Below are 24891 nucleotides of genomic sequence, written 5' to 3' on the forward strand. Positions count from 1 at the left end.
TTTTTTTTCTCAAACAGTAGCATTTCTAATATATGGGCATCTCTTTCATGCAATTTTGAAATGGACCAAAATTAACTGAGAGCCTGTTTTCAAAATAAGTTGGAAGATGTGCTGCTTCAACTTTTCCTAAGAATTGTTCACAGAAAAAAATCATAAATGGTTCTTACAGATCAACTGGAAGAAAACTTGTTTTGGGAAGAGGTCCTCAGGAAGCTTAGCTAATATGACCATTTTTAATATCATACTGTATTTTGTTACACTAAACAATCTTAGTTATTTCACTTTTGTCAACTCACACTGGTGAATCAAATAAAATGTATGATGTAAAGCATTTTAACCACTTCTGATACAGGCCAGTGTAGCTCTATGACTTCTGACATCAAAATGATTTGTTTGATTCCCCAAAGGTCTTTCTTGCATCCAAACTGACATCCTGCAAAACTGAAGTTTTGCAAAGTTTCTGAGTACAGTGTAAGGACACATTCCAATGGAGAAGCTGGGCTCATGTTTTTATAAGACTAGAATTGTAGAGACAACTGAGATTCAGACTAGAGAATTCATGAACCTGATATTCTAATTCTGTGTTGTCCAACATAGTAGCCACTAGTGGCTCTTGAGAACAGACGTTGACATAAGGCTGATTTGAGCTAACATGTGCTGTAAATGTAAATGCACCTCAGATTCTGAATATTTAGTAGATAATGTAAAAATCTCAGGATATTTTTGATTACATGTTGTGATGGCAATATTTTGGATATGTTGGGTTGAATAAAATATACAATTAGCATAAATTTCACCTGTTTTTTTTCCACTTTTTTATGTGACTAGAAAATTTAAAATTACCTATGTGGCTCACATTAGTGGCCCATATTATATTTCTGTTGAAAGGCACTGCTCTGACCCACGGAAAGAATGGGCGTTTTCCACTTTTATTCCTTACGTGGGGGCTGACAAGTTATAAACTACCTGTGTGACTTTGAGAAGACTATTCAACAAGATGTATTGAGGTAGAACTTTATGCCAAGTACCGAGTAAAGCACTGGGGACATTAAGATGAACTAGGCAGTCTCTGCCCTCAAAGACCATCAATAGACATTTTAGTATATGCAGGGAGTTCTGGTCACACAGAGGACAAATGGCTGGAAATAAAAGTTACCAAAATTTGGCAGAAATTCTTCCAGATATCTTTTTATGCATACAAGTATGTACAAGCACACACCAAACACAGATACACACATAACAGATGCATGCATGTATGAGTGTGTGTGCATAGATGATTAGACAGATAGATAGCATCATACCATCTTTGATGATCAGAAATGGTTTTTTTCTGCACAATATAACATGGGCATTGCTCCACAAAAAACAATAAATGTAAGTCAACATCATTATTTTGGCTTCATGAAAAACATCATTGCATATATGTACCGAAACTTATTTGACCTTTACCCCATCGTCTTATTTATAGATTTGAGATTTTTTCCAAATGATTGTGAACAATGCAGGAAGAGAAAAGTGTGCTCACTTTTTGTGATTAGAAGTTTAAAATATATTCTGATAAATGGGATCTCTGGTGAATCTATTTCTGGACTCCCTTCTGTTCTGGTGATGTATCTTTCAAATCTATAATAGTTTCAGTATCTATTGTTTTAATTTTTGTAACTGTACTGCATTTCTATCCCCTTTTCATCTTAAACTTTATTTTTTTCAATGAAAGATATATATGTACATAAATCTTTTAGCAGTTTCTTTCAGTATTCACCTTCATCTTTTACAATAAGATGTTTTTATTGTAAAACATCTTATTTGTTTAAATGTTTAACTGTTTAGTTTCCATTATGAAATATGAGGACCACAAGGATCCAGTTCTTTTTTTACCCATGTCCTATCCCATCCCAACCTACCCCACATATTTTCTTGTTCCTTTCATAATCTATCTATAATTCTGCTTTAGATCAGTATTAAGCTTTTACATTGATGTGACTTTGTAAATAACATTCTCAGATGAGTCATAAGGTAAAATAAAAATATATTTTCTTTTTGTGTAACTTTTCTTTCCACCTAGAGCTAATAGCTAAAAATCTCCAATCTCACTCTCTTTGTCTTCTATTACGCATTGCTAACTTACCCTCAAACTCTAGCAGGGGGTTCTGTCTTCTCTCAGCATTCAAACCCACCAGGCATTCTAGCAGCACCATGTTTTTCTGGGGGACATTCCTCTCAGAACCCATTTCCCTGCCTCAATCTAGCTGACTACTTCCTCTGGGTACAGCACACCTGTAATCCTGGGATCTCCTTCCTAATCATCCTGGAGATTCCCAGCACCTCATTCTTGAGTTAGGTCATCTGTTCTTACATCCCATATCTTCCTATTTTTTTTATCTGTGACCTTATTTTTTAAAAAAAAAGCCCCCTTTTGTGGCTTTCTGAGAAAAGATGGGGAGTAGAGGTGTTGAGACCTGCATGACTGAGAATGTCTTTAGACCTCTCTCATTCTTGAGAATAGCTTTGCTACATATAGAATGATTCCCCTTAGAATTTTGAAGGCAAATCTTTATGAATTTTAGTTTCATTGTCAAGAGGTCCTATGTCATTATAGTTCTTTTGTGTGTGTGTGTGTTTTGTTTTGTTTTTTGGTTTTTTGGTTTTGTTTTTTTTTGAGACAAGGTCTTGCTCTGTTGCCCAGGCTGGAGGGCAGTGGCGCGATGTTGGGTCACTGCAGCCTCAACCACCTGAACTCAAGCAATCACCCCACTTCAGCTTCCCGAGTGGCTCATGCCACCATGCCTGGCTAATTTTTGCTTTTCTTTTTTTGTTAGAAATGGGGTTTCGCCAGGTTGCCCAGGCTGGTCTTGTACTCCTGGGCTCAAGCAATCCTCTTGCCTCGGCCTCCTAAAGTGCTGGGATTACAGGCATGAGCCACTGTGCCCAGTCACATGATTATAATTCTTTATCGATTATATGTCACACATTCCTCCTTCTCTCCTGGAAAATATTCTCCTTTTCCCTCATTTTCTAAAATTTCATACTGTGCCCAAATAGGATTTTTATTTATTATATTCAGTATTGGGTGAACTCTTTCAGCTTGGAAATTCATATTCTTCAATTGTAGGAAATGATCTTAGACTATTTTTTAAAATAGTCTAAATTTATTTTTTTAAATAAACTCTCTTGAACTAGACTATTGACTAATTATTGCACCACCTGAATTGTTACCCTCAATTTTTTCTTTTCTTATTTTTTCCTACTTTTCATCTCTATCTTTTTGTTTTACTTTCAGAGAAATTTCCCCAACTTTATCTTCCAATCCTTCTATTTTTTTTTTTTCCTGTTAACTTTTATTAACTGGGGTTATAAGGAGAGTCTGGTCACAACACACATTATGAAAACATTAGGAAATTACAGAAGGACTTGCAATAAGTTTAAACAGAACAAATTAAGCCAACCCCTTGGTCATCTGAGAAACAATAAGGTAAAATTGCAGAGACCAAATCTTTGTCAGCGATAAAGGATACAGAATAAAAACGTAGACATCATCGCCCCCTGGTGTTGTAAAATAAACATGCAATGTTATTTATTTATTCATTTTTGAAGTTGTAATCTTCTCCTTTGTCACTGAGCCTCAATTATTTCCCCAATTTCAAGCCCTCTTTAGACAATCTTTTCCCTGTCATCAATAACTTTCAAGTATCTTATTTGAAAATATAATTTGTACTAATTCCTCTTTCAGACTCCATAAATTCCTTTCCAGGAAACTGGCCACCTCCCAGCACAAGAGCCTATGCTCTTGCTCTTTGAAATGCAAACCAAAACAAGAGCTTTAGTCTTTCATCAAAATTAGAGGATTAGCATGCATTTATTGCAAACCTTAATTTCCTCTAAAAGGCATCTTTACTCTGCAACTTACTCGTCATTGCCATTTTTCATAACCAGAATGCATTCCTTCACCGTCTGCCTCCTGACTTGGCAACCATCAAGAATTCTGGCCTGACCAGTTAACTTGCTAAACCATCTTTGCTGTTATATACCAGGAAACACTGGAAAAGAGACATAAATAATATACCTCCATATCCTAGTGTCCTGGCTTAATTTATAGGCAGAATTTCGTTTGTTGGCTAAGGGAAGAAAAACCATCTACGTAGAGTGAGCTTGGGAGGAAGCTGGAGTAGGGAGAAAACATGATGGCAGGATAGGTTGGTGGGAACCGTGGGTGCAGTCCTGCTCCCAAGGTTTTCATTTCTGTGACAAGAGCTCTTTTTTGTATGTTCACTTTTATTGATTCCTGTTTTTATTTAAATAGATGGAAATATGTTCTCTTGACCCATTGAACACATTTATTACCATTTTTTGAGTGTTTTTCTAATCACTGCATTGGCTCTGTTACTTCTAATTTCCTTTCTCCAGCTGCCCTATTGTTGCTTTTGCTTTATATGTTAAAATACTTCCTCAGTGTCTGGTGGTCCTTGGAAGTCAATTCCCATGCAAGGAGGAGACACCAAAAAGCCTGGGGAAGCTCTGATCGAGTGGGTGCTTGTTGGTTGACAGGTGGGCTTCATAGAAGGGTAATACGGCTGGAAAATTTTCTTAGGATTCCAAGGACGGAGTCCTTGACCTCTTTTCTTTTTCTTTTTCTTTTTTTTTTTTTTTCGCTCTGTCGCCCAGGCTGGAGTGCAGTGGCGCGATCTCGGCTCACTGCAAGCTCCACCTCCCGGGTTCACGCCATTCTCCTGCCTCAGCCTCCTGAGTAGCTGGGACTACAGGCGCCCGCCACCACGCCCGGCTAATTTTTTTGTATTTTTAGTAGAGACGGGGTTTCACCATGTTAGCCAGGATGGTCTCAATCTCTCGACCTCATGATCCGCCCGCCTTGGCCTCCCAAAGTGCTGGGATTACAGGAGTGAGCCACAGCGCCTGGCCCGACCTCTTTTCTAAGATTGGCCAATTTCCCCAGAAAATCATTCTTCAATCTCCTGCCAGAAGAGAGGGGCTGGGAGTTCTTCTGTTCATACACAGCTTTACATTCAATCCCCCTGTCTCTTGTATGTTAGCTGCCCCTTCAACTTCATCTTGTGTCTCTAAGTGCAAACCTCCCTGTGAGCCTCCTCAGAGAGGGAGTATGCAGTTTCTCGCTGGAACTGGGGAAAGGCAGCCATCCTGCTGCAGGCGGGGCTCTGCAATTCTGTTTCCATACAGGCTTTTGGTCCATTCTTCTGTCTTCAGTCCCTCTGTCCCCTTGTCTCCTCCTTCCAGAAGGATCCAGTGTTTTTACATCTTGAAACTTTCTAGGGGTCTGTGGTACAAAACAGGATGTTTCTAGGCTCCCCCAACTAACAGGTTACATTTTTGTTTTCTCTCATCTTGTAACTCTATTATCAATTGTCCATTTGCTTTCTGGCTCCCAAGATTTTGCAGGTGGCATCACTGTGTTTTCTTCATTCTTGTAGATTCCTGCCGCCTTTAGTTCTATGTCATTCTGTGGTGTTTTGAGGGAGCAGGGGCAAATGAGTGCTTTTCTGCCATATTTACTTGCTTTTTTGTATAAAACCTTATGAAACTACAGCAAAGTAAAATGCGCTATTTTCATTTCATGAATATAATTTCACAGAAACTAAAAACAACAATCAGTATGCAGGGAGGTGCTGAGGAGTAAAAGGCCTGGGAGAGAGTCCCTGCTCCAGCCACACTGGTAGGTCCTCACAGTAATGGTAGCATCACCACCCCTACACTCACTCTGAAGTTAAAGCATAAATCAACAGCCCTAACTGGAAAGCTCATGCTAATACTTTCCCTTTCTGCCTCCCTCAGCCTGAGAGCATCCACCCTTTCCCTATCCTTAGCCTTAGAGATGAAGGAAGCTGGTTTCACTTGAAAGACAAATTTAGTTAAGAAACACAGCTGGTCTTCAGTCCTTCTGTTCTTTTCAAATCTGACCTTGGTCTAGCTCAAGAAACGTTTGTTGATTGCCTGTTATAGACCCGCCTCTGTGTACACCGAGGGTTCAAAAATGAAAGACAGTTCTCTGCCCTTGAGGAGTTCAAAGTGTCACTTACTCCCTGATGTCTCACTAATTCCCACATATTAATCAGGACTGGCTCCTGCACAGAGAAGCACTGAGTGGTGGCTGAGCTGCCACTTGACATTGGGTTTTCCCTCATATGGACCCTAGTTTCTTTCATTTTCTGTATACACATCTAAAGCAGAATTATTATGGAAGGCCATTAGAAATTAGCTTGGATTCCGATGTAGGAAAATGACTGTAAAAGTAAAATATTAACATTCTTCTTTAAAGAAAAAACAATCCCAGCAATCCCTCCTGCTGGGATTGTTTTTTTCTTTAAAAACAACCCCTGTAACTGGTGCGTCATGTGTGTCTGAGATTCTTGCATTGGGTCAACTGATGGGGGATCCAGTGGTGACTAGTTTGTAGTAGGCTCCTTTTTGGGCCATCAGTTCTTCATGGGTCCCCTTTTCAATCACCACCCCCTGTGCCATGACAGCAATGATATCCGCGTTCTGGATGGTGGACAAGCGATGGGCAATGACAATGCAGGTCCGACCCTCTCTGGCTTTGTCTAGAGCAACCTGCACCGTCTGCAAAGAGAAGATGGAAAGTTGATGCAAAGATGCATGATTGCTCCCCAGCCCACCATCATGAGAGTTCAGTTAACACGACCTGAATAACAATCCTATACTTGACGGCAAACCCAAAGGCTCAACATAAGAGAGGATTAAGCAAGTATTCCCTGAATGCAATGCATCAGTGATTTCAATGGCAGTGCACTGGCTGAGAAATTTCAGTGGAGCAAGAAGGAAGCAAACTATGAAGTCCCTACATAATTTTACAATATTTGATGGTCTAGTTTCCTGAAATGAAATGAAGAAAACAACGGAGGGTAGCAGTTAAGTGGCCATTCCTGATACTGCTCTTCATTGAAGACATTTTAGCTCTCTCCAAAATGGAATCCCGATTGTTATGGCATTAATTATACATTTTAAATTTCATAATTGTGTTTTGCTCAATTGCATCTTCTTTCATGCAAACCACACATCAGATATCACCTCTTTCTTTGTGTTGCATGTGGCCTACCTTCTCTGTCACATAACTTTAGAACTATAAAATATAACAGATAATCTAGATTATTTTACTTTATTCAAGAAAGGTGATTATTTGCCTTTGGAAAAAAATGTCACTTAGCCTAAAGAATCTTAAAAACAATTCTTATTTTAAAGGTAAAATATTTTTTTTGAAGCAATCTTATATTAAATCACTTGCTCTAGATAATTGTCTTTTGGTTCCACAAAGTATTGCCAATTTCTACTGTTAACGAATCAGAAAATTGAAAATAGTGCCATTTTATTAAGGACAAATTTTACAGCAAAAGACTTATTTGTAATGATCTAAGACTTTAGAAATTCAACACTTACCTTTTCACTTTCTGTGTCTAAGGCAGAAGTGGCTTCATCTAGTAGCAAGATTTTAGGATCTCGTACAATGGCCCGAGCAATAGCAATGCGTTGTTTCTCCCCTCTAGAGAGTTGAGACCCCTGGGACCCAACGTTAGTTTCATATTTCTGAAAAAAAGTATGATAAGTTTGAGAAATAGAAACAGTTATTGCTCCTGTGCTGTACTGAACTCATGTCAAGGTCTCCTCTGTAATTTAAATTATTTGTTTGTTGAACTAGGGAACAGTGAGTGAGTCCTCCTATAGGATGGAGGATGTCAAATCCACTTAGGAATATAAGAAAAATATGGAATTTGTGACATTTGATGTGGGAAGCAAGGGGACATTATTCCTCATTTCTGCATTTCTTTTAGGTTTATATTTTCAATCTCCTTCTCCCTGTGTCCACATAAGAGCCCATATATGAGATCCTCCTTGATTTGAGACTCTCTGATTCTAGATTCTTATCTGGAAAAATCCTTCCAATATGGACTAATCCCAAGAATGGAAATGTCTTTTGCGAGATCTTCTGGTCCATTGCTGTATTAGGGAGGCAGCATTCTGGAACACAGGCTTTGGTTAGAAGCTCCACTCTGCTGCTTACTAGCTTGTGTTCATGAACAAATTATTTAAATTTTTTTGAGCTGGCTAGGCATCTGAGGTGCAGTATTAACACTTACTTCACATATTTATTGTGAGTTTTAGAGAAAATTAGGAAGAAAAAATCACTCATGCCTGGCATGGCTACATAAAAATTAGTTAACATTCATAGAGTGTTTACCATAGAGGTATTGTGCTAACTATTCTAGCTAGGGTATCATTTAATATTCACAGAAACCATACCCACACTATTTTTTAGATTACAAAACTTAGGCACAGGGAGGTAAGAAAATGGTGCGAGGACAAGTAACAAGCAGTGAAAGTGAAATCTGAATCCAGATGAAAGTGAATCTTGCTCTCCTCTAAGTCCTTGCCTTGACTACTTCTCTTCCTTGCCTTCCACAACACGAGCTGTTTCCTTTCCCTGCTTCCCTTGCCTCCTGAGGAATGCTCCTTTAAGCCAGGTGAGACCCATGAAAACCTGCTTTGTCTTTGTGGAGACAAAGTGCTCAGAGAAGGGTGCCACGGGCAAGTCTGTATGAGGACAATGCAGTAAACCAGCTCCATGACAGTGCCTTGCCCAACATGAGTAGCTATTCAATAAGGGTTTGTGGGATAAATGAATCTTCCAGGAGACACACAATCTTTGCTTTTGATCTCTGGATTCAGCAAATAGTAATTTCCATGTGCTTATAGATTGGGCTAACAGGTAAGAACTGGGCCAAGAGCCTAAAACTTAGGAGACTTTGTGAAAAGAGCAAACAAAAAGCCTTCCACAAACCCACAAAATTTATAAACATAATCACTTATAAAGAAAAACAATTTTCCCAGGGATATTTTTAAAAAGTAAGTAGAGAAGGTTAAAGGTAAAATTTGGCCCTACAATTTGGTTTCCATGTTGTAATTTTTCTTGTGATCAAAACTAAGAGGGACTTTTGGTGGATGGAAAAATGCAGAGTCAATATTGCGCGAAATCTGGACTTGGGTTTGGCAAAGTAAGAGACAGTAAGGCAGGTGTAACTTACCCACCACCCACGGTACACATTGCCAAGTAATGAAATAATGATGATGGCAGTAATACCAGTGGCCGCTTTCATTGTGTGGCTATTAAGTGTGTTTTCTTCATTTTAACGTTATTTTCTTGCATTTTGCAGATGAAATAGACAATCTCAGAAAGGATAATTGTCCCAAAGCTATGAAGCTACTAAGTGGCAAAGCTTGGATGCAAGCCCAGGTCAGCTCCAAATCTCAGGTGTTTCCCCACTATGCTAAACTAAAGCTCAATGTACAAAAAAATTCAACAAAAATAGCATCCATTGCATTGGGCAATACAATACTTTCCAAAATTAAAGAGTATGTTGATGAAGGATATTTCTTTTGCTTAAAAAACTAAGACAGTCCAGGGGCACTGTGAAATAAATTGCATATCCTTTGACCTTCTAGAGCCACAATCATAATACAGATTGAATATTTCTTATCAGAAATGCTTGGGACCAGAAACGTTTCAGATTCTGGATTTTTTCAGATTTTGGAATATCTGCATATAATGAGATACCCTGGGGATAGGACTCAAGTCTAACCACAAAATTCCTGTTTCTTATCTACTTTATACACATAGCCCAGAAGTAAATTCCTATAATATTTTTAATAATTTTGTACATGAAACAAAGTTTTGACTGCATTTTGACTGTGACCCATCACATGAGGTCAAGTGTGAAATTTTCCACCTGTGGAATCATGTTGGCATTCAAAAATTTTTGAATTTTGGAACATTTTGGATTTGGGATTTTCAGATTAGGGATGCTCAACCTGTACACTCTGGTCATTCTACTTCTCCCCATCCTTGTCTCTCATAGGGAATGGCTCTGACTTCGTACTCACCTCTGGGAGTGACATGACAAAATCATGCAGCTGAGCCTGTTTTGCAGCTGCTATGACTCTTTCCATGGGAATTTCTTTGGTGTTGTCTCCATACTTGATATTGTCCATTATGCTACAGGCAAACAACACTGGTTCCTGGGAAACAATTCCAATGTTTGAGCGGAGGAACTGGACATTTACTTTTTTGCTGTCATGACCATCTATCATCTGCCAATAGAGGAGATGACAGGTCATTAGGTTTTTAGAATTCCAGCAGTGAGGAAAGTTCATATTCTAGCATTAGGTGTTATGCAGGACATTTGGTTTGCTTAACAGACTAACAATCCCAAGGCTAAAATTATGGAATAAATTATGTTGCCTTTGACCTCTGGATGTAATGTCTATCAGGAGTGGCATCCATGTTAACACTAATCAGACTATGGTCCTATTTATTTCCTGAACTCTGGCTCTACAGGTGGGGCAAACGAGAAAGACGCTCAGGTATTCAGGTAAGAAACAACGTCCCCTTACTTTGGTGCAGCACACTCTCTACAAATATACAGGGTTGCTCTATTTTGAGACTCATGAGTTATGGAAAGGATTTTTCTCTGTGAAGCTTTTGGGCAATATAAGGGTCAAACCTGTTTTCTTGATTTTACTAACACCATTCTCTGCATAACTGAGATAATAAAACCAAGTAAAAAAGGAATACATTTATTCACTTAGTCAATCAACAAACATATATTTGAATCACCTGCCACAAAGCACCATCCTAAGCCATCTATGTCTGCTACGTAAAGAAAATATAATCTCTGTTTCCTAGGAACTCACAGTCTAGTTAGGCAGTTAAGTCCAGGTACTTGAATATCTACCACATGAGCTGATTCACTAAAGAGTCCTAGAATATTAAAGGCACAGATGCCTAACGTGCTACTATAAAGTATTTGGCCCTATTATTTCAGAAAAAAATTGTGATAAATGGTATGAACAGATTATATTTAAGATAATTTCTAAGTAATGGAAAAAGCAAACACTATTAGAAAAAATATAAAGCATTTCTCAATAACAATTAGCCCTGGCTTATCTTGCTCTACTCATTTTCCATAGCACTTAAGTCTGCAAAACACAATTTAATAATTAAACACTCAGGCTGTTTGCTCATTCTTCTAAATGTGCTACATTGTAAGCTCCTAGAAGGCAGAAGACATGCTTCATGGTCCTTAGACTCTCCCACAGGGACTCATGCAGTAACAGGCACATCATAGGTATCCAAATAAATGTTGAAAATATTGAACGCCTACATTTGGTAGATTAAGAGCAAAGAGGACTTTGAAAAAAAAACATAAAAAGTGGTAGGTTTTCTGCTTAAAATGTTTGTAGAAATGTTTTACGATGTTGTAACAAAATATACTGTGCCTATGAAATGCAAGAAGTCATAATGATTTCCTTATTGGCCTTGCTTTCGACCTGTGACCAGAACATTCACTGGGCATATTCAGAGAAATATACTTAATGTACATGTTAATGTTGGAAAAGTAAATATGAGGGATTCAGTTTCCTGTACCTTGCATAGTTCACAATCTATGTTGGCTGCAGGCATGCCAGAAGTGACATTTTGGAAAATTGAACCCTCTGACTTATCAGAATTATACCTCTGGTTACAATGGGCTTTCTAGGTTTATTGGTTACCAAATACTTTCAAACAAATTTACAATCTTTATACCTCAACTTAATAACAGAAGGGATTATAAATTATAGGCAATCAATACTTAGTCCTTATTTTTATAACTTCCTGGATTCTGTCAATTTCTGTTTGCTTGTTTCCTTGCTTTGCTTTATACAAGGAAATCTTTAGTTGCCTTTTTCAAAATTTTCTTAGCATTTCTCTTCATAATGTTATACTCTTCATAATAGTATATTACATTAAAGATTATACTATTCAGGGAAGTCAGAAAGGCCACTTTCAAAATATAGGGATTAAACAATTAATCAAGTATGAAGCAAAACAAAACATTTTCAGACCCATATCTATGAACTATTTCTTAGAAATTTGCTTTTGGATGAGCTCCAACAAAAGGGGGTAAAAACTAGAAAAAGGAATGTATGGGAACTACGAAATAATGGATCTAATCCAAGGAAATATCACAGGGAACTCACAGGATGATGACTGTTCAACAGGCAAACGTTGCGAGTGACAGAAATGAGGGAAGAGATGGCCTGACAGAGACATTGGAAGAACACAAAGGTTTTCATGAAGACAAAGAATGCAAGAAAAAAAGAAACCTTTCAGAAAAACAATCAAAAAAATATAATGTAAATGTAACTCACTATTTGACTGAAGGATGAACAATATTTACATAATCATTAAAAAAGCTGTCAATTGATTTTCAACTTTTAGAATCAACTTAGAGTGAAGGCAGGAAAGATAATGTTATAAACAGAATGTGCTCTGAATTCTTGATAAAAGTGCAGTTAGAACTTAAGAGGTAAAAGAAGTAAGAGGTGAAAAGAGTAAGAGGTGAAAATAAAGGTAGGATTGCTAACATTTTTCTTTTAGAAAGTGAGAATTCAAGAGGAACTATCTACAGGTGGTGGAAGAGCAACGGAAGCAGATCAGAAGTTTACAAATTTATAAATAGAAGGCCTAAAAAATGATATAACTATATTGGGAGGAGGTAGGCAAAAGGAGGGAGTGGTGAGAGTAAGTAGATTTTTATCTCTTGAGAATAAATCACAGAGAGTCTAAATTTGTTAAATCATGAAATAGCATGAGCATATTATTTAAAGACATAAAAGTCACCATTGGGAGATCAAAAAACATCAAGTGGTCAAAAATAGTTGCCTTTGAGCAGAGAAATGTGGAGTGGGAGTGTAAGCATAAAGCAGGGGGGTGGCTTTTTATTATAAATATTTATTATTTGATTTTGTGACCTTCTGCATATATTACTTTTAAAGAAAGAAAAAAAGGACAGAAAAGAGAAAGAAATGTTATGAAAAATAAATACCAAAGCTATTCACCAAAATTTCAAATATCCTTGCTAAAGATTTATGGTACATGGCTCTCAATCTGAGTTCCTTGCGTTATTTAGATTTCAGCTTCTTGAACAAGGATTGTCTTAGATCTTTTCATGCTAACTCTCCTTTCTTGCTCATTTATCATTATTTCCCTTATCACTCTACTTTTTCCATTCCTGGTCATTAGTTTCCTGATTAGTCTGCACTTTCTGCTCCATTTACGGGTAAGTGAGTGCTTCTATTAAATACACTCATCTCCAGCTTTGCAGTGTGCCCAGTTTTCTTTGCCTAACTGGTCAGCAGGCCATCTGGAACTGGGGAAAATCTGACATTAGAAATTGTGAGGTAGAATCAGGTGAAGCAGCAAATGACTGGGACTGGAAAATATGCATGGGGTAAGTGCCTTAGGCAAGCATTTTAAAGTGAGTCTGGCAAAGCAAAAACTTGAAGCCCACTTTTAGGGGTTGGAAATACTCTGCAGAAGGCAAAATTCTCAAAAAGGTTGCGTGGCTTACCACCTTCCCTTGATCAGGATCATAGAAACGTTCCAACAGCTGAATGCTAGTGCTTTTGCCACATCCACTGCTCCCAACAAACGCCAGTGTCTGCCCTGGACTAATCGACACTGAGAGACCATTCAGAACTTGCGAGTCAGGTCGAGAAGGATATGTAAATTTACAATCAACAAAATCAATCTTCCCCTGGAAGTTGTCCTGTGGATGGGAGGATCAAAATTAGAGATGCTCTTACTGAAGCCTAGAATATTGAAAACACACCTAAATCTTGAGTTTAAAATCCCTGCTTGAGATACCTTCAAACCATGCTGCCAAAGTGCAAAGTATAAAGACAGCAACTTAATAAAAGGACATTCCATTTTGTGTTCTGAAAGATGTAGTATAAAGGAAGGCTTGGGCAACGAAATTAAAGACATTTGACTCCCCCTATTCCCAGTCTAACATAAGGGGATTTTCTTGCCATCTATTCCTGACATTCTGAATAGAAGAGAATAGCTGGAAGATATGACATCACAGAAGCCAGTAACTGTCCAAACCCTATAGCTTTGTTCTCCTAAAGACTAAAAATAATGTTACACTTAAAACGACCTAGAAAGAAAGTTACCTGAGGTCTGTACTGCAAAGGTGAATACTTTCTATTGTACTTTGGTGTGCTTAAAACTCTAACTTATAAAATCTAGAAATGGATAGACATTTAATAGACCACACAGAAACTTTACATTTACTGAACTGAAGGAGAAATTTTACCAATTTAGAAAGATTACAGAATTTAGCTTAGCTTTACTAGTGTTTAGGTTTGCTTTGCTTTCTGGAACATACTAAAATTTTCAAAAATAGGTAGAGAAGATTTACAAATACCTATCTATCAATTAGAAGAACAGATATTTTGTTGAGATTGAATTAATTTTCAGGACATCCACATAAGCTAAAACTTGAATCAAGATGAACATGAATTAAATCAATGTTATTGGACAGGAAGAAGTGATTTTTCTACATTCTGTATCAGAACATCAATAGAAAACACAGTGGTTAGGTAGATCTCAGAGGACAACTGGCTTCATTCATTTGGGAACTAAGTGTATTTTATATTACACAGAATTTAGCATTCACTGAATGTCATCACCTTGTTCAAATGCCAGCTTTAGGAATAATTTTTGATGCTAATTTACTTTATTCCTTTGTATTTATAAATCTACTGTTTGTCTTCTCCAAGTATGTATGAATGAACCCATATACAGCAGGAATTTAGAAGCCAAGTGGTATTGTATGGCCATCCCTAATGGCTGTCCTGCACACACATACGCACAACCTTACCCCTCATCAATACTTACACATTTTATTTATTTATTTATTTTATTAGACTTTAAGTTCTGGGGTAGATGTGTAGAATGTGCAGGCTTGTTATATAGGTATACACGTGTCATGGTGGTTTGCTGCACCCATCAACCTGTCATCTACATTAGGTATTTCTCCTAATGCTATCCCTCCCCTACCCCACACCATCCCCTGACAGGCCCCGGTGTGTGATGTTCCCCACCCTGTGTCCATGTGTTCTGTTTGTTCAACTCCCACTTATGAGTGAGAACATGTGGTGTTTGGTTTTCTGTTCTTGTGTTAGTTTGCTGAGAATGATGGTTTCCAGCTTCATCCCTGTCCCTGCAAAGGACATGAACTCATCCTTTTTTATGGCTGCATAGTATTCCAACACTTACCCATTTTTCACCTGCAGTATTGTATACACTGATTGGGGGTTGTCGGTCCAGCAGTTGAAAAAAGCGTGCAGCTGATATTTTAGCTTTTGCATAACTTGGGGTGTAAGAGAAGGCTCTTCCAAGAGCTGTTGCACTCAGTACAACTGCAGAGATCACCCTGTAACCAGACAGACACACAGGAAGAGAGCAGGGTGGCGTGGTTGGTGTGATGACCTGAAGGCAGAAGTTTGGGGATCTAGCCCTGGTTCTGCCAGGAAAGGACCAAATATCCTTGAGCAAGTCACTTCAGACTTGTCTGGAAATGGAGAGGGTGGTGTTTAAGGGACTGGCAGTTTTCAAACTGTGTTCTATGAAAAAGGAGTAAGAAGAGGACTGAACAAGCATGAAGGGGGGAGAGCTCAGACCTCCAAACCTTTATTTGACCACAATAGCTTCCTTTAAGAAAATTGTTGGCCAGGCGCGGTGGCTCACTCCTGTAATCCCAGCACCTTGGGAGGCCGAGGCGGGCGGATCACGAGGTCAGAAGATCGAGACCATCCTGGCTAACACGGTGAAACCCCGTCTCTACTAAAAATACAAAAAATTAGCTGGGCGTGGTGGTGGTCGCCTGTGGTCCCAGCTACTCGGGAGGCTGAGGCAGGAGAATGGTATGAACCTGGGAGGCAGAGCTTGCAGTGAGCCAAGATCGCGCCACTGCACTCCAGCCTGGGTGACAGAGCAAGACTCCGTCTCAAAAAAAAAAAAAAAGAAAAGAAAATTGTTTGAGGGGGAAAAAGACTTCTGAAAAAATTTTTTTAAAAGAAAAAGCAGGCTTGAAAGATCACCAGATTGAGTTGATTTTTCTAGAATTCTAACAGTTATTGAATCTATAATAGGTATATAAAAGATAATGATTGATGATATAAGCATCATTTTTGCACCAGGCATGTATATAATTTATGCTTCAGAGAGCAAGACAGATGCAATTGCCTGTCTCCTTCTACTTGTCTTAGCCTCTAACTATAGTCAACATGTACTTAATTAACGAAAGAGTGAATGAATAAATGAATGATAAATATAATGAGAGATAACTTTGTTGCTGTAGAGATTATGATGTGAGTAGTAGCCCCCAAAGCTGCTCACCTGCACTGTCATGCACAGAGGGTCTGCCTGGGATGGGGATAGGGATAAGGGATGTGTCTTTGTGTGTCACACTGCTCAGTTCATAAGCAGGAATTGTTTTAGGCCAGAATTGCAAATCTGAACATCCCCGGGAGCCCAGTTTAAAGCCTAAGGGAATGAAAAGCACTTGAAATGAAATGGAAAATGGTGGAAGATGACGTTCCAATTTTTAAAGTGAAGCCAGAAATTGGAAGTTTTCTGTAGTTCCACTTTTTGTTTTGTTTTGAGATGGAGTCTCACTCTGTCACCCAGGCTGGAGTGTAGTGGCATGATCTCAGCTCACTGTAGCCTCTGCCTCCTGGGTTCAAGCGATTCTCCTTTCTCCTGCCTCAGCCTCCCAAGTAGCTGGGATTACAGGCACACATCACCATACCTGGCTAATTTTTGTATTTTTTTGTAGAGATGAGGTTTCGCCATGTTGGCCAGGCTGGTCTTGAACTCCTGACCTCAAGTGATCCACCCGCCTCGGCCTGAGGTGCTGAGATTACAGGCATGAGCCACCGCACCCAGCCTGTAGCCCCAGATTTTTACATGTTGGCAAAAAAATATTCTAAATTATTCTAAAATTATTCTAAATTATTCTAAAATTATTCTAAAACCTTAATATAAACTAAATAAAAATAAGCCAATGGTTTGTGTTTTCTAATTTAGACTAGTAGCTTTAAATATGCAAAGATTTAGAAAAGAGACACTTTCCTAGCTGGGTGGGTGTAGTGGAGTGGGAGAGAAGTGCTGAAAGAGATACCAGGTGAGAAGGCGGGACTCATGGCTAGAGAAGGAAACCCAAGAACCGATTCCTATAGGACCACTTTTCCTAATGCCCTCCAAACCTTTCTCAGACCATCTCCACCCTTACCCCCCGACTCGCCCATATACATGTGTACCTCGTTCCCCAGTACCCTGACACCCTTAGGCTTTCACCTCTGGAAATGTGAGAAATTGGACTAAAAGCTAATCTTATTAGAAAAGCAGGCTTTGGCTATACGAATGGAACATCCTTCACCTGTATGGCCCATGCTGTCTCTGCCTAGGAGGAGTCAGTTGGGAGGAGTCAGCCCTCTTTGCAAGAGAGGAGTTCAAACAAAACAGTTCTCTATGAACCATCTTAGCCAAGACCTCTAGATTTTCTCAGCATTAACATGTGTGGCAGATTGTTTATAAACAACGATCATATTAATTCACACTTTCATGCATCCCTTTGCAACATGGCTTTTTTACTCCTCTCATCAAAAAGTGGATTCTATTTTTTTCTATTCCTTAAACCTGGGCTTGATGGTATGACTTTCTTTGGCCAAACAGAAAATTAGAAAGTTTCTTTGCGTGGAGAGACTTGAAAAGTACTTGCACAGTGGGGCTTGCCCTCTTTTGTGGCACTTGGAACTCTGAGGCCATAATATGAAGAAAAGAAGCTCATCTGCTAGACAGGCCATGTGGAGACAGAAGAATACACAGAAGCCTGACTGAGTCAGCCCAGGTCAGAAGAACCGCCCTGATGACCCACAGAATCTTGAGAAATAATTAATCCCAGCTATTGTAAGACACCAAGCTTGGGATGGTTTGCTAAGCAGCAAAAAGCTAACTGACAGAACCAGGCTATTCCTTCCTTGTGTGTTGATCTTTTCTCACCTTGGCTAGATATTCCTCACCTGAACACATAGCTGAAATGGAGCCCCTCATTGGAGATTAAGTAACCTCCATATCTGTAGGAAGCAGAATTCGCAATAAACATGATGCACTGGGCAAAGGCAAAGCAGAATCCGTAAATATTGGCTTTCTGAATGGCTGTCTTGAAGGGCTTCTCCAGCTCAGTCTCAAGTGCTTCAATGAACCGCCTCTCCTTTCCAATTCCAGCAACAGTGCGGATGTTACTGAGGGCTTCATTTGTAATCTGAAGATTGAAAAAGAGTCTTAGGAATACAAGGGCAGAAATAACTCCTTTCGTGACATTTCAGTGGCTGCCTGGATTAGATGGTGCAAATGGCAGAATGTGGTACAAATCAGAGAATGCATCATCTGGGAATACAAAGACGTGGCTGGAGATCAACCCAACTGGACCACGAGACAATTTTTCAGTTAAATTCAAGTTTCCCTTAATTCTTATACTTGAGAAGTGTTTATGCTACCATCCCTCATTTACCCCCCAAGGACAAGATATTAATTAGAACACACTTTAAAATGTGTAGCTAAAACCTAAGTGTATCCAAAACCTAAACTGTAGTTCATAATTCTGGTTGGGAAAGACACTTGCCCCAAGCCTGGGGGACTCTAAAGTATGAAGAGCAAAGGCATGTGCCATTAAAACCATCATAGCTCCTGTGTGTGTGGAAAGCATGGCTCAGGGGAACCATTAAATTGCAAAAGCTTCACGGCCAGAAAACTGAACTATCCACCCCTGCAAATGAGAGTACACCAAATTGGAATGTGGAATGAATCACTATGCGAGAGGAAATTGAACAGGCAATCCTGTGTTCACTCCGCTATTTCTCCACACTGGCTCATACTCAGAGTCTCGGAGCTTTATTGCCTCAGCCTTTGCGCCAAGCACGCATAGAAAGGGTGGTGGAAGGTTCTTAAGTGTGCCTGTCTTGTGGGCTGACAGCTTCCTTCAGTCTCTTCGTACTACTCGTTTTTAACAGTTTGTCTGATAGCCACTCAGCCATGAGGAATGGGAAAATTAGATCTGCAAGATTACCTGTCCCACCATCTCCAGGGCCTGCTTATCTCGAGAGGCAAATCCTGTCAACATCCTGGTCTGTGTGGCTCCTGATAAAGCCAAGAAGGGGAAGAAGCACAAGATGACCAGGCTCAGCTTCCAGCTAAAGGAGAAGGCAATGATCATGGCCACAGTGACGTTAGTGAAGGAATTGACTATCATCCCGATCTGAGAGCCGGCAGCCTGCAAACCAAAAAGCAATCAACCCGTCTCAGACACACAGTCGCTTTTACCAATTACCATTACACAAAAAGGTCAGACCTTTTATAAAGTTGTGATAAAATATACATAACAATATATATCATTTTAACCATTCTTAAGTGTACAATTCAGTGGCATTTCACAATGTTTTGTAACCATCACACATCTATACCTAAAGCTTTTAAAATCATGTCCAACAAAAACTCTGTATCCATTAAACAATAACCTCCCTTTCTTCTCTCTCCCCCAAGCTCTTGGTGACTTCTATTCTAACTCTCTGTCTGTATAAATTTGCCTACCCTAGGTATCTCTAGAAGTAGAATCATACAATATTTTTCCTTCTGTGTCTGGCTTATTTTGCTAAGCATAATGTTTTCAAGCTTCAGGCATGTTGTAGCAGGTATACAAATTTCATTCCTTTTTATTTTTATTTTTTGTTTATTTTATTTTATTTTGAGACAAGGTCTCACTCTGTCACCCAGGCTGGAGGGCAGTGGCATAATTATGGCTCACTGTAGCCTTGACCTCCTGGACTCAAGCAGCCCTCCTGCCCCAGCATGCTAAGTAGCTGGGACCACAGATGCATGCCACTACACCTGCTAATTTTTTAATCTTAGTAGAAATGAGGTCTCACTATGTTGCCCAGGCTGGTCTTAAACTCCTAAGCTCAAGTGATCCTCCCACCTTGGCCTCCCATAGTGCTGGGATTGCAGGCACGAGCCATCACACCTAGCTTCATTCCCTTTTAAAACTGAATATTCCATTGTATGTGTATATCACATTTTGTATATCCATTCATCCATTGATGGACACTGGGGTTATTTCCAACTTTTGGCTATTGTGAATAATGCTGCTATGAACACTGGTGTATAAGCACCTTTCAAGTCCCTGCTTTCAATTCTTTTGGATATAGACCTAGGAGTGGAATTGCTGGGTCATATGGTAGTCCCCTGTTCAAAAAGTTAAGTTCTTTTAAATGATTAAGTTCTTTTAAATGATGAGCTCACATAACGTATCTGAAGGCTGAATTAATTAAAAGGTTCTTTATTCATAGCTTATCCGAAGTTCATTTATTGACTAATCTCATTTTAAGAGTGTCAGTGCTAGAGCAGTCTGTCTGAGATTAATGCAGCCCTAAACATGGGCTACACATGTGTCAAGTACTGATGCATTTGGCTTGTTTGAAGATATCCAGCCATTGGGCTTGAGGTAATATTACTTATTCAATGAAGATTAATGCTTGCTCTATAATTATATTTTTGAAGTTGATACAAGACTATTATAAGATACCACTTTGATTCTCATTGAAGTTAGCCTGCTCGTTGGTACAAAGTTACATGCTGCTGTAATACACAGCTATTTAGTCAATGCAGATGGACAAAATGGATTCAGTCCCAATATAGATGGAGAATGGACCACTGTGGTAATTATATCTATACTAATCAGAGTATCCAATGGTTCCAAATCGTCGTTTCAGTTGCAGCTAGGCAGGTACGACCAAAGCTTGGCACACTCTGTAGAAAATACTTGGGTGAGGACAATTACATCACTTCTTTTTAAAATTGTAGAAACACATTTTTATTTAAGACAAAAAAATGTAAAACGACAAAAGGTAACCTGTTAGTAACCATTCGATGCTAAGGCACTGTTATTCAGGAATAATTTGCATCTTTATACTGAATTGAAGACACAAATGGAATATAAAATTGTGTCCCAAAGCATTCCCATGTGTTAGTGCTGACTTCCTTGGAGACTAACAGGCTAAATCAAGAATTTCTCATTTGTACACCCACGTTCAGAGCAGAATTAATCACAACAGCCAAACAACCTGAATGTCCACAGACAGATGAATGAATAAAGAAAACATGATATATCCATAAAATAAACATCCATAAAAATGTAGCTCTGACACATACTATAGCATAGAGAAACTTCAAAAACATCATGTTATGTGAAATAAGCCAGACATAAAAGGATAAATTCATATGATTCCACTTAGATGAGGTACATAGAGTAGTCAGGTTCATAGACACAGAAAGTAAAATGGTGGTTGCTGGGGCTGAGGGGAGGGAGAGCAGGATGGGGAGTTGCCGTTTCAAGGGTACAGAATTTCTCTTTGGAACGGTAAAACATTTCTAGAGATGAATAGTGGTGATGGTTACATAACAATGTAAATGTACTTAATGCCATTCAGCTGTACACTTAAAGATGGTTAAAGTAGTAAATTTTGTGTTACAAATATTTTACCACAATTTTTTTTAAAAAAGAATTTTTGGTTGGCAAGGACTGTCAGGCATTACAGAGGACTTGAAAAGCAACTTTGCAGCTCTTTGGGATGTCGTTATTTTGTTTCCTTTTACATTTTATTCAATTGGTATTTTTTTAAAAATTGAAAATAATACAACCTAAGACACAAACAAAACATAGATACATATTTAACAATATATACATATATTTTAATTTTTTTCTTTACAAAAAGGGCTCATACTCTACATATTACTTTGTACTTTGACTTTTTTTCACTTATCAATGGTACATAACTATCCTTCCAGATCAATATATAGGAACACTTTAAAAAATAGCTGTGCAATATTCCTTAGTATAAATGTATCATAATTGATTCAACTCTTTTTCTGTTGATGGATATTTGGGTAGTTTCCAGGGAATTTTATTAATTTTTTGGTTAATATAAAAAATGATAAATATCCTTGAACACACATTCTTACACAATAGGAGGGAATTCACTCATCAGAATTCTGTTCAAAGAGTATATAATTAAAAAAGAAAAAGAATTTCTGGTTGGCAAGGACTGTCAGGCATTACACAATACTTGAAAAGCAACTCTAAAGTTTTTGGGGGGATATCATTATTTACTATTACTCTCCAAAACATTTGCTTACTATTATTTACTATTACTCTCCAAAAAACATTGAAAAACTTTGTACATTGTATGAAAGTGTCAGTTATTCCCCATCCTCATGAATATCGTTCATGATGGTTTTAGGAACACTACACATAATATGGTTATATTAGGGATATTAATATTTATTATAAATGCTTTTCTAGTTTATCATTTGTTTATATAAAAGTTTTGAATTTATGAAGTCCAACATGTCTACTTTGTAGTTTTGAGTTTTTGTCTTGCTTGAGAGAATCACCTCTACTACCACTCTTATTTCTCAATGAGCTCTAGCTAATATAATAAGAAAATAAAATGAGTATAAATATAAAAAAAGAAAAGAAAAGACAAAATGATCTTTTTTGCATTTTTTGCTTAGCAGATATTGTGATTTTTACTAATGGAAGGTTTGTGGCAACCCTGTATATGCAGAGCAATTCTATTGGTGCCATTTTTCCAATGGTATGTGTTCATTTTATGTTTCTGCATCACATTTTAGTAATTCTCAAAATATTCAAACTTTTTCATTATTATATCTGTTATGGTGATCTGTGATCAGTGATCTTTGGCATTATTATTGCCATCGTTTTAGAGCACCACGAACCACGCCAATATAAGACTGAAAACTTATTCAATAAATGTGTTTGTTCTGACTGCTCCACTGACTGGTCATTCTGTCTCTCTCTCTTTCTATCCTCAGACCTCCCTATTACCTGAGACACAATAATATTGAAATTAGGCCAACTAATAACGCTACCTTGGCCTCTAAGTGTTCAAGTGAAATAAAGTCACACATCTCTCACTTTAAATCAAAAGCTAGAAATGACTAAGCTCAGTGAGGAAGGTGTGTTGAAGGCTGAGATAGGCTAAAAGTTAGGCCTCATTTTAGCCTCATTTAGTCCTGAGATAGGACTAAATAAATAGTCAAGCTGTGAATGCAGAAAAAAAAAGTTCTTGAAGGAAATTAAAAGTGCTATTCTAGTGAACACACAAATAATAAGAAAGTGAAGTGAACCAGCTTTATTGATGATATGAAGAAAGTTTGAATGGTCTGGAGACAAGATCAAACCTGCTACAACATTGCCTTAAGCCAAACCTAATTCAGAACAAGGCCCTAACTCTCTTCAATTCTAGTAAGGCTGAGAGAAGTGAGGAAGCTTTGGGAGAAAAGTTGCTTTATGAGGTTTAAGGAAAAAAGCATCTCCACAATGTAAAAGTGCAAGGTGAAGCAGCAGTGCTAATGTAGAAGCTGCCACAAGTTCTCCAGAAGATCTAGCTAAGGTCATTGATAAAGGTGGCTACACCAAATAACATATTTTCCGTGTTGACCAAACAGCTTTCTATTGGAGGAAGATGCCATCTAGGACTTTCATATCTAGAGAGGAGAAGTCAATGCCTGACTTCAAACTTACGAAAAATAGGCTGACTCTCTTGTTAGGGGATAATGCAGCTGATGACTTTAAGTTGAAGCTTACCATTCCAAAAATTCTAGGCCCCTAAGAGGCATGCTAAATCTCCTCTGCCTATGTTCTATAAATAGAATAATAAAGGCTGGATGACAGCACATCTGTTGAAAACACAGTTTTTTGAATATTTTAAGCCACTGTTGACACCTACTGTTCAGGAAAAAATACAGCTTTCAAAAATATTAGTGCTCATTGACAACGCACCTAGTCACCCAGGTGCTCTGACGGAGATGTACAAGGAGATGAATGTTGTTGTGCTTGTTAACCCAACATGAATTCTGCTGCCCATGGGTCAGGGAGTAATTTTCACTTTGAAGTCTTTTTATTTAAGAAGTAACATTTTACAAGGCTACATCTGCCATAGTTATTCCTCTGAGGGAACTGGGCAAAGTAAATTGAAAACCCTCTGGAAAGGATTCACCATTCTAGATGCCATTAAGAACATGTACCCTAGAACTTACAGTGTATATATAGATATACACTTTATATGTATATATATATTTATGAAAGAACATTTGTGATTCATGGGAGGAGGTCAGAATATCCACATAAATAGGTGCTTGAAAGAAGTTGATTCCAACCCTCACAGATGACTTTGAGAGTTCAAGACTTCAGAGGGAGTAACTGCAGATGTCATGAAAATAGCAAGATAACTAGAATTAGAAGTGGAGTCTGAAGATGTGCTGCATTAAATTGCTGCAATCTCATGATAAAACTTGAATGGATAAGCAGTTGCTTCTTATGGATAAGCAAACTGGTTTCTTGAGATGAAATCCACTCCTGGTGAAAATGCTATGTTAATAAAAGTAGCAGCAGGGTTTAAGAGAACTCAATCCAATTTTGAAAGACATTCTACTGTGGGTAAAATACTATCAATCAGCATTACATGCTACAAATAAATCTTTCATGAGAGGAAGAGTCAATTGATGAGGCAAACTTCACAGTTGTCTTATAAGATATTGCCAGTCTAACCTTCAGCAACCACCACCGTGGTCAGTCAGTTGCTATTAATAAATTAAGATATGTACATTGTTTATTTTTAGACATAAAGCTATTGCATAGTTAGTAGAATACAGTATAGTGTAAACACAACTTTTATATGCACTAGGAAGTGAAAAAATTAGTGTGACATGCTTTATTGCAATATTCTCTTTATTGCGGTGGTCTGAAACCAAACCTGTAATATTTCAGAACTATATCTGGTATTTTATTATATACCTAGAAAACCCAGTAGACTATTAAATTTCTAAAATTATAACTTATAAGAGAGCTTGGAAAGTCCTTAAGATAAGTATACAAAAACTAA

The 24891-nt window shown here is 38.2% G+C and overlaps 1 protein-coding gene across 7 annotated transcripts in view, besides 1 other annotated feature; it reads right to left on the reverse strand.

Annotated features, from left to right (window-relative positions):
* Positions 1-24891, reverse strand: part of ABCB11 (ATP binding cassette subfamily B member 11) — a 115935-nt gene that overhangs the window by 1842 nt on the left and 89202 nt on the right. For 3 of the 7 annotated variants that reach the window (XM_006712817.4, XM_017005166.2, XM_017005167.2), the window contains 7 exons: positions 18999-19202; positions 17953-18194; positions 15146-15302; positions 13434-13631; positions 9925-10131; positions 7426-7572; positions 6345-6591 (listed from right to left, as the gene is read on the reverse strand). In XM_006712817.4, the coding sequence (XP_006712880.1) occupies positions 6391-6591; positions 7426-7572; positions 9925-10131; positions 13434-13631; positions 15146-15302; positions 17953-18194; positions 18999-19202 (1356 nt within the window). In that variant the 3' untranslated portion in view covers positions 6345-6390. Of the gene's footprint in view, positions 1-3549; positions 6592-7425; positions 7573-9924; positions 10132-13433; positions 13632-15145; positions 15303-17952; positions 18195-18998; positions 19203-24891 lie in introns of those variants that run through there. The other 4 variants (XM_011512078.3, NM_003742.4, XM_017005165.2 and 1 more) reach the window with 4 other exon arrangements.
* Positions 18129-19328: an enhancer, noted in NCBI's record as "CDK7 strongly-dependent group 2 enhancer chr2:169791870-169793069 (GRCh37/hg19 assembly coordinates)". NCBI's record gives its function as "activates an origin of replication core promoter dependent on BRD2, BRD4, P300/CBP, MED14 and CDK7 cofactors, with strong dependence on CDK7, by STARR-seq in HCT116 cells {active_cell/tissue: HCT116}" and the evidence as "EXISTENCE:reporter gene assay evidence [ECO:0000049][PMID:35650434]".

The sequence above is a fragment of the Homo sapiens genome, chromosome 2 (genome assembly GCF_000001405.40).
Source record: "Homo sapiens chromosome 2, GRCh38.p14 Primary Assembly".
Lineage (NCBI taxonomy): Eukaryota > Metazoa > Chordata > Mammalia > Primates > Hominidae > Homo > Homo sapiens.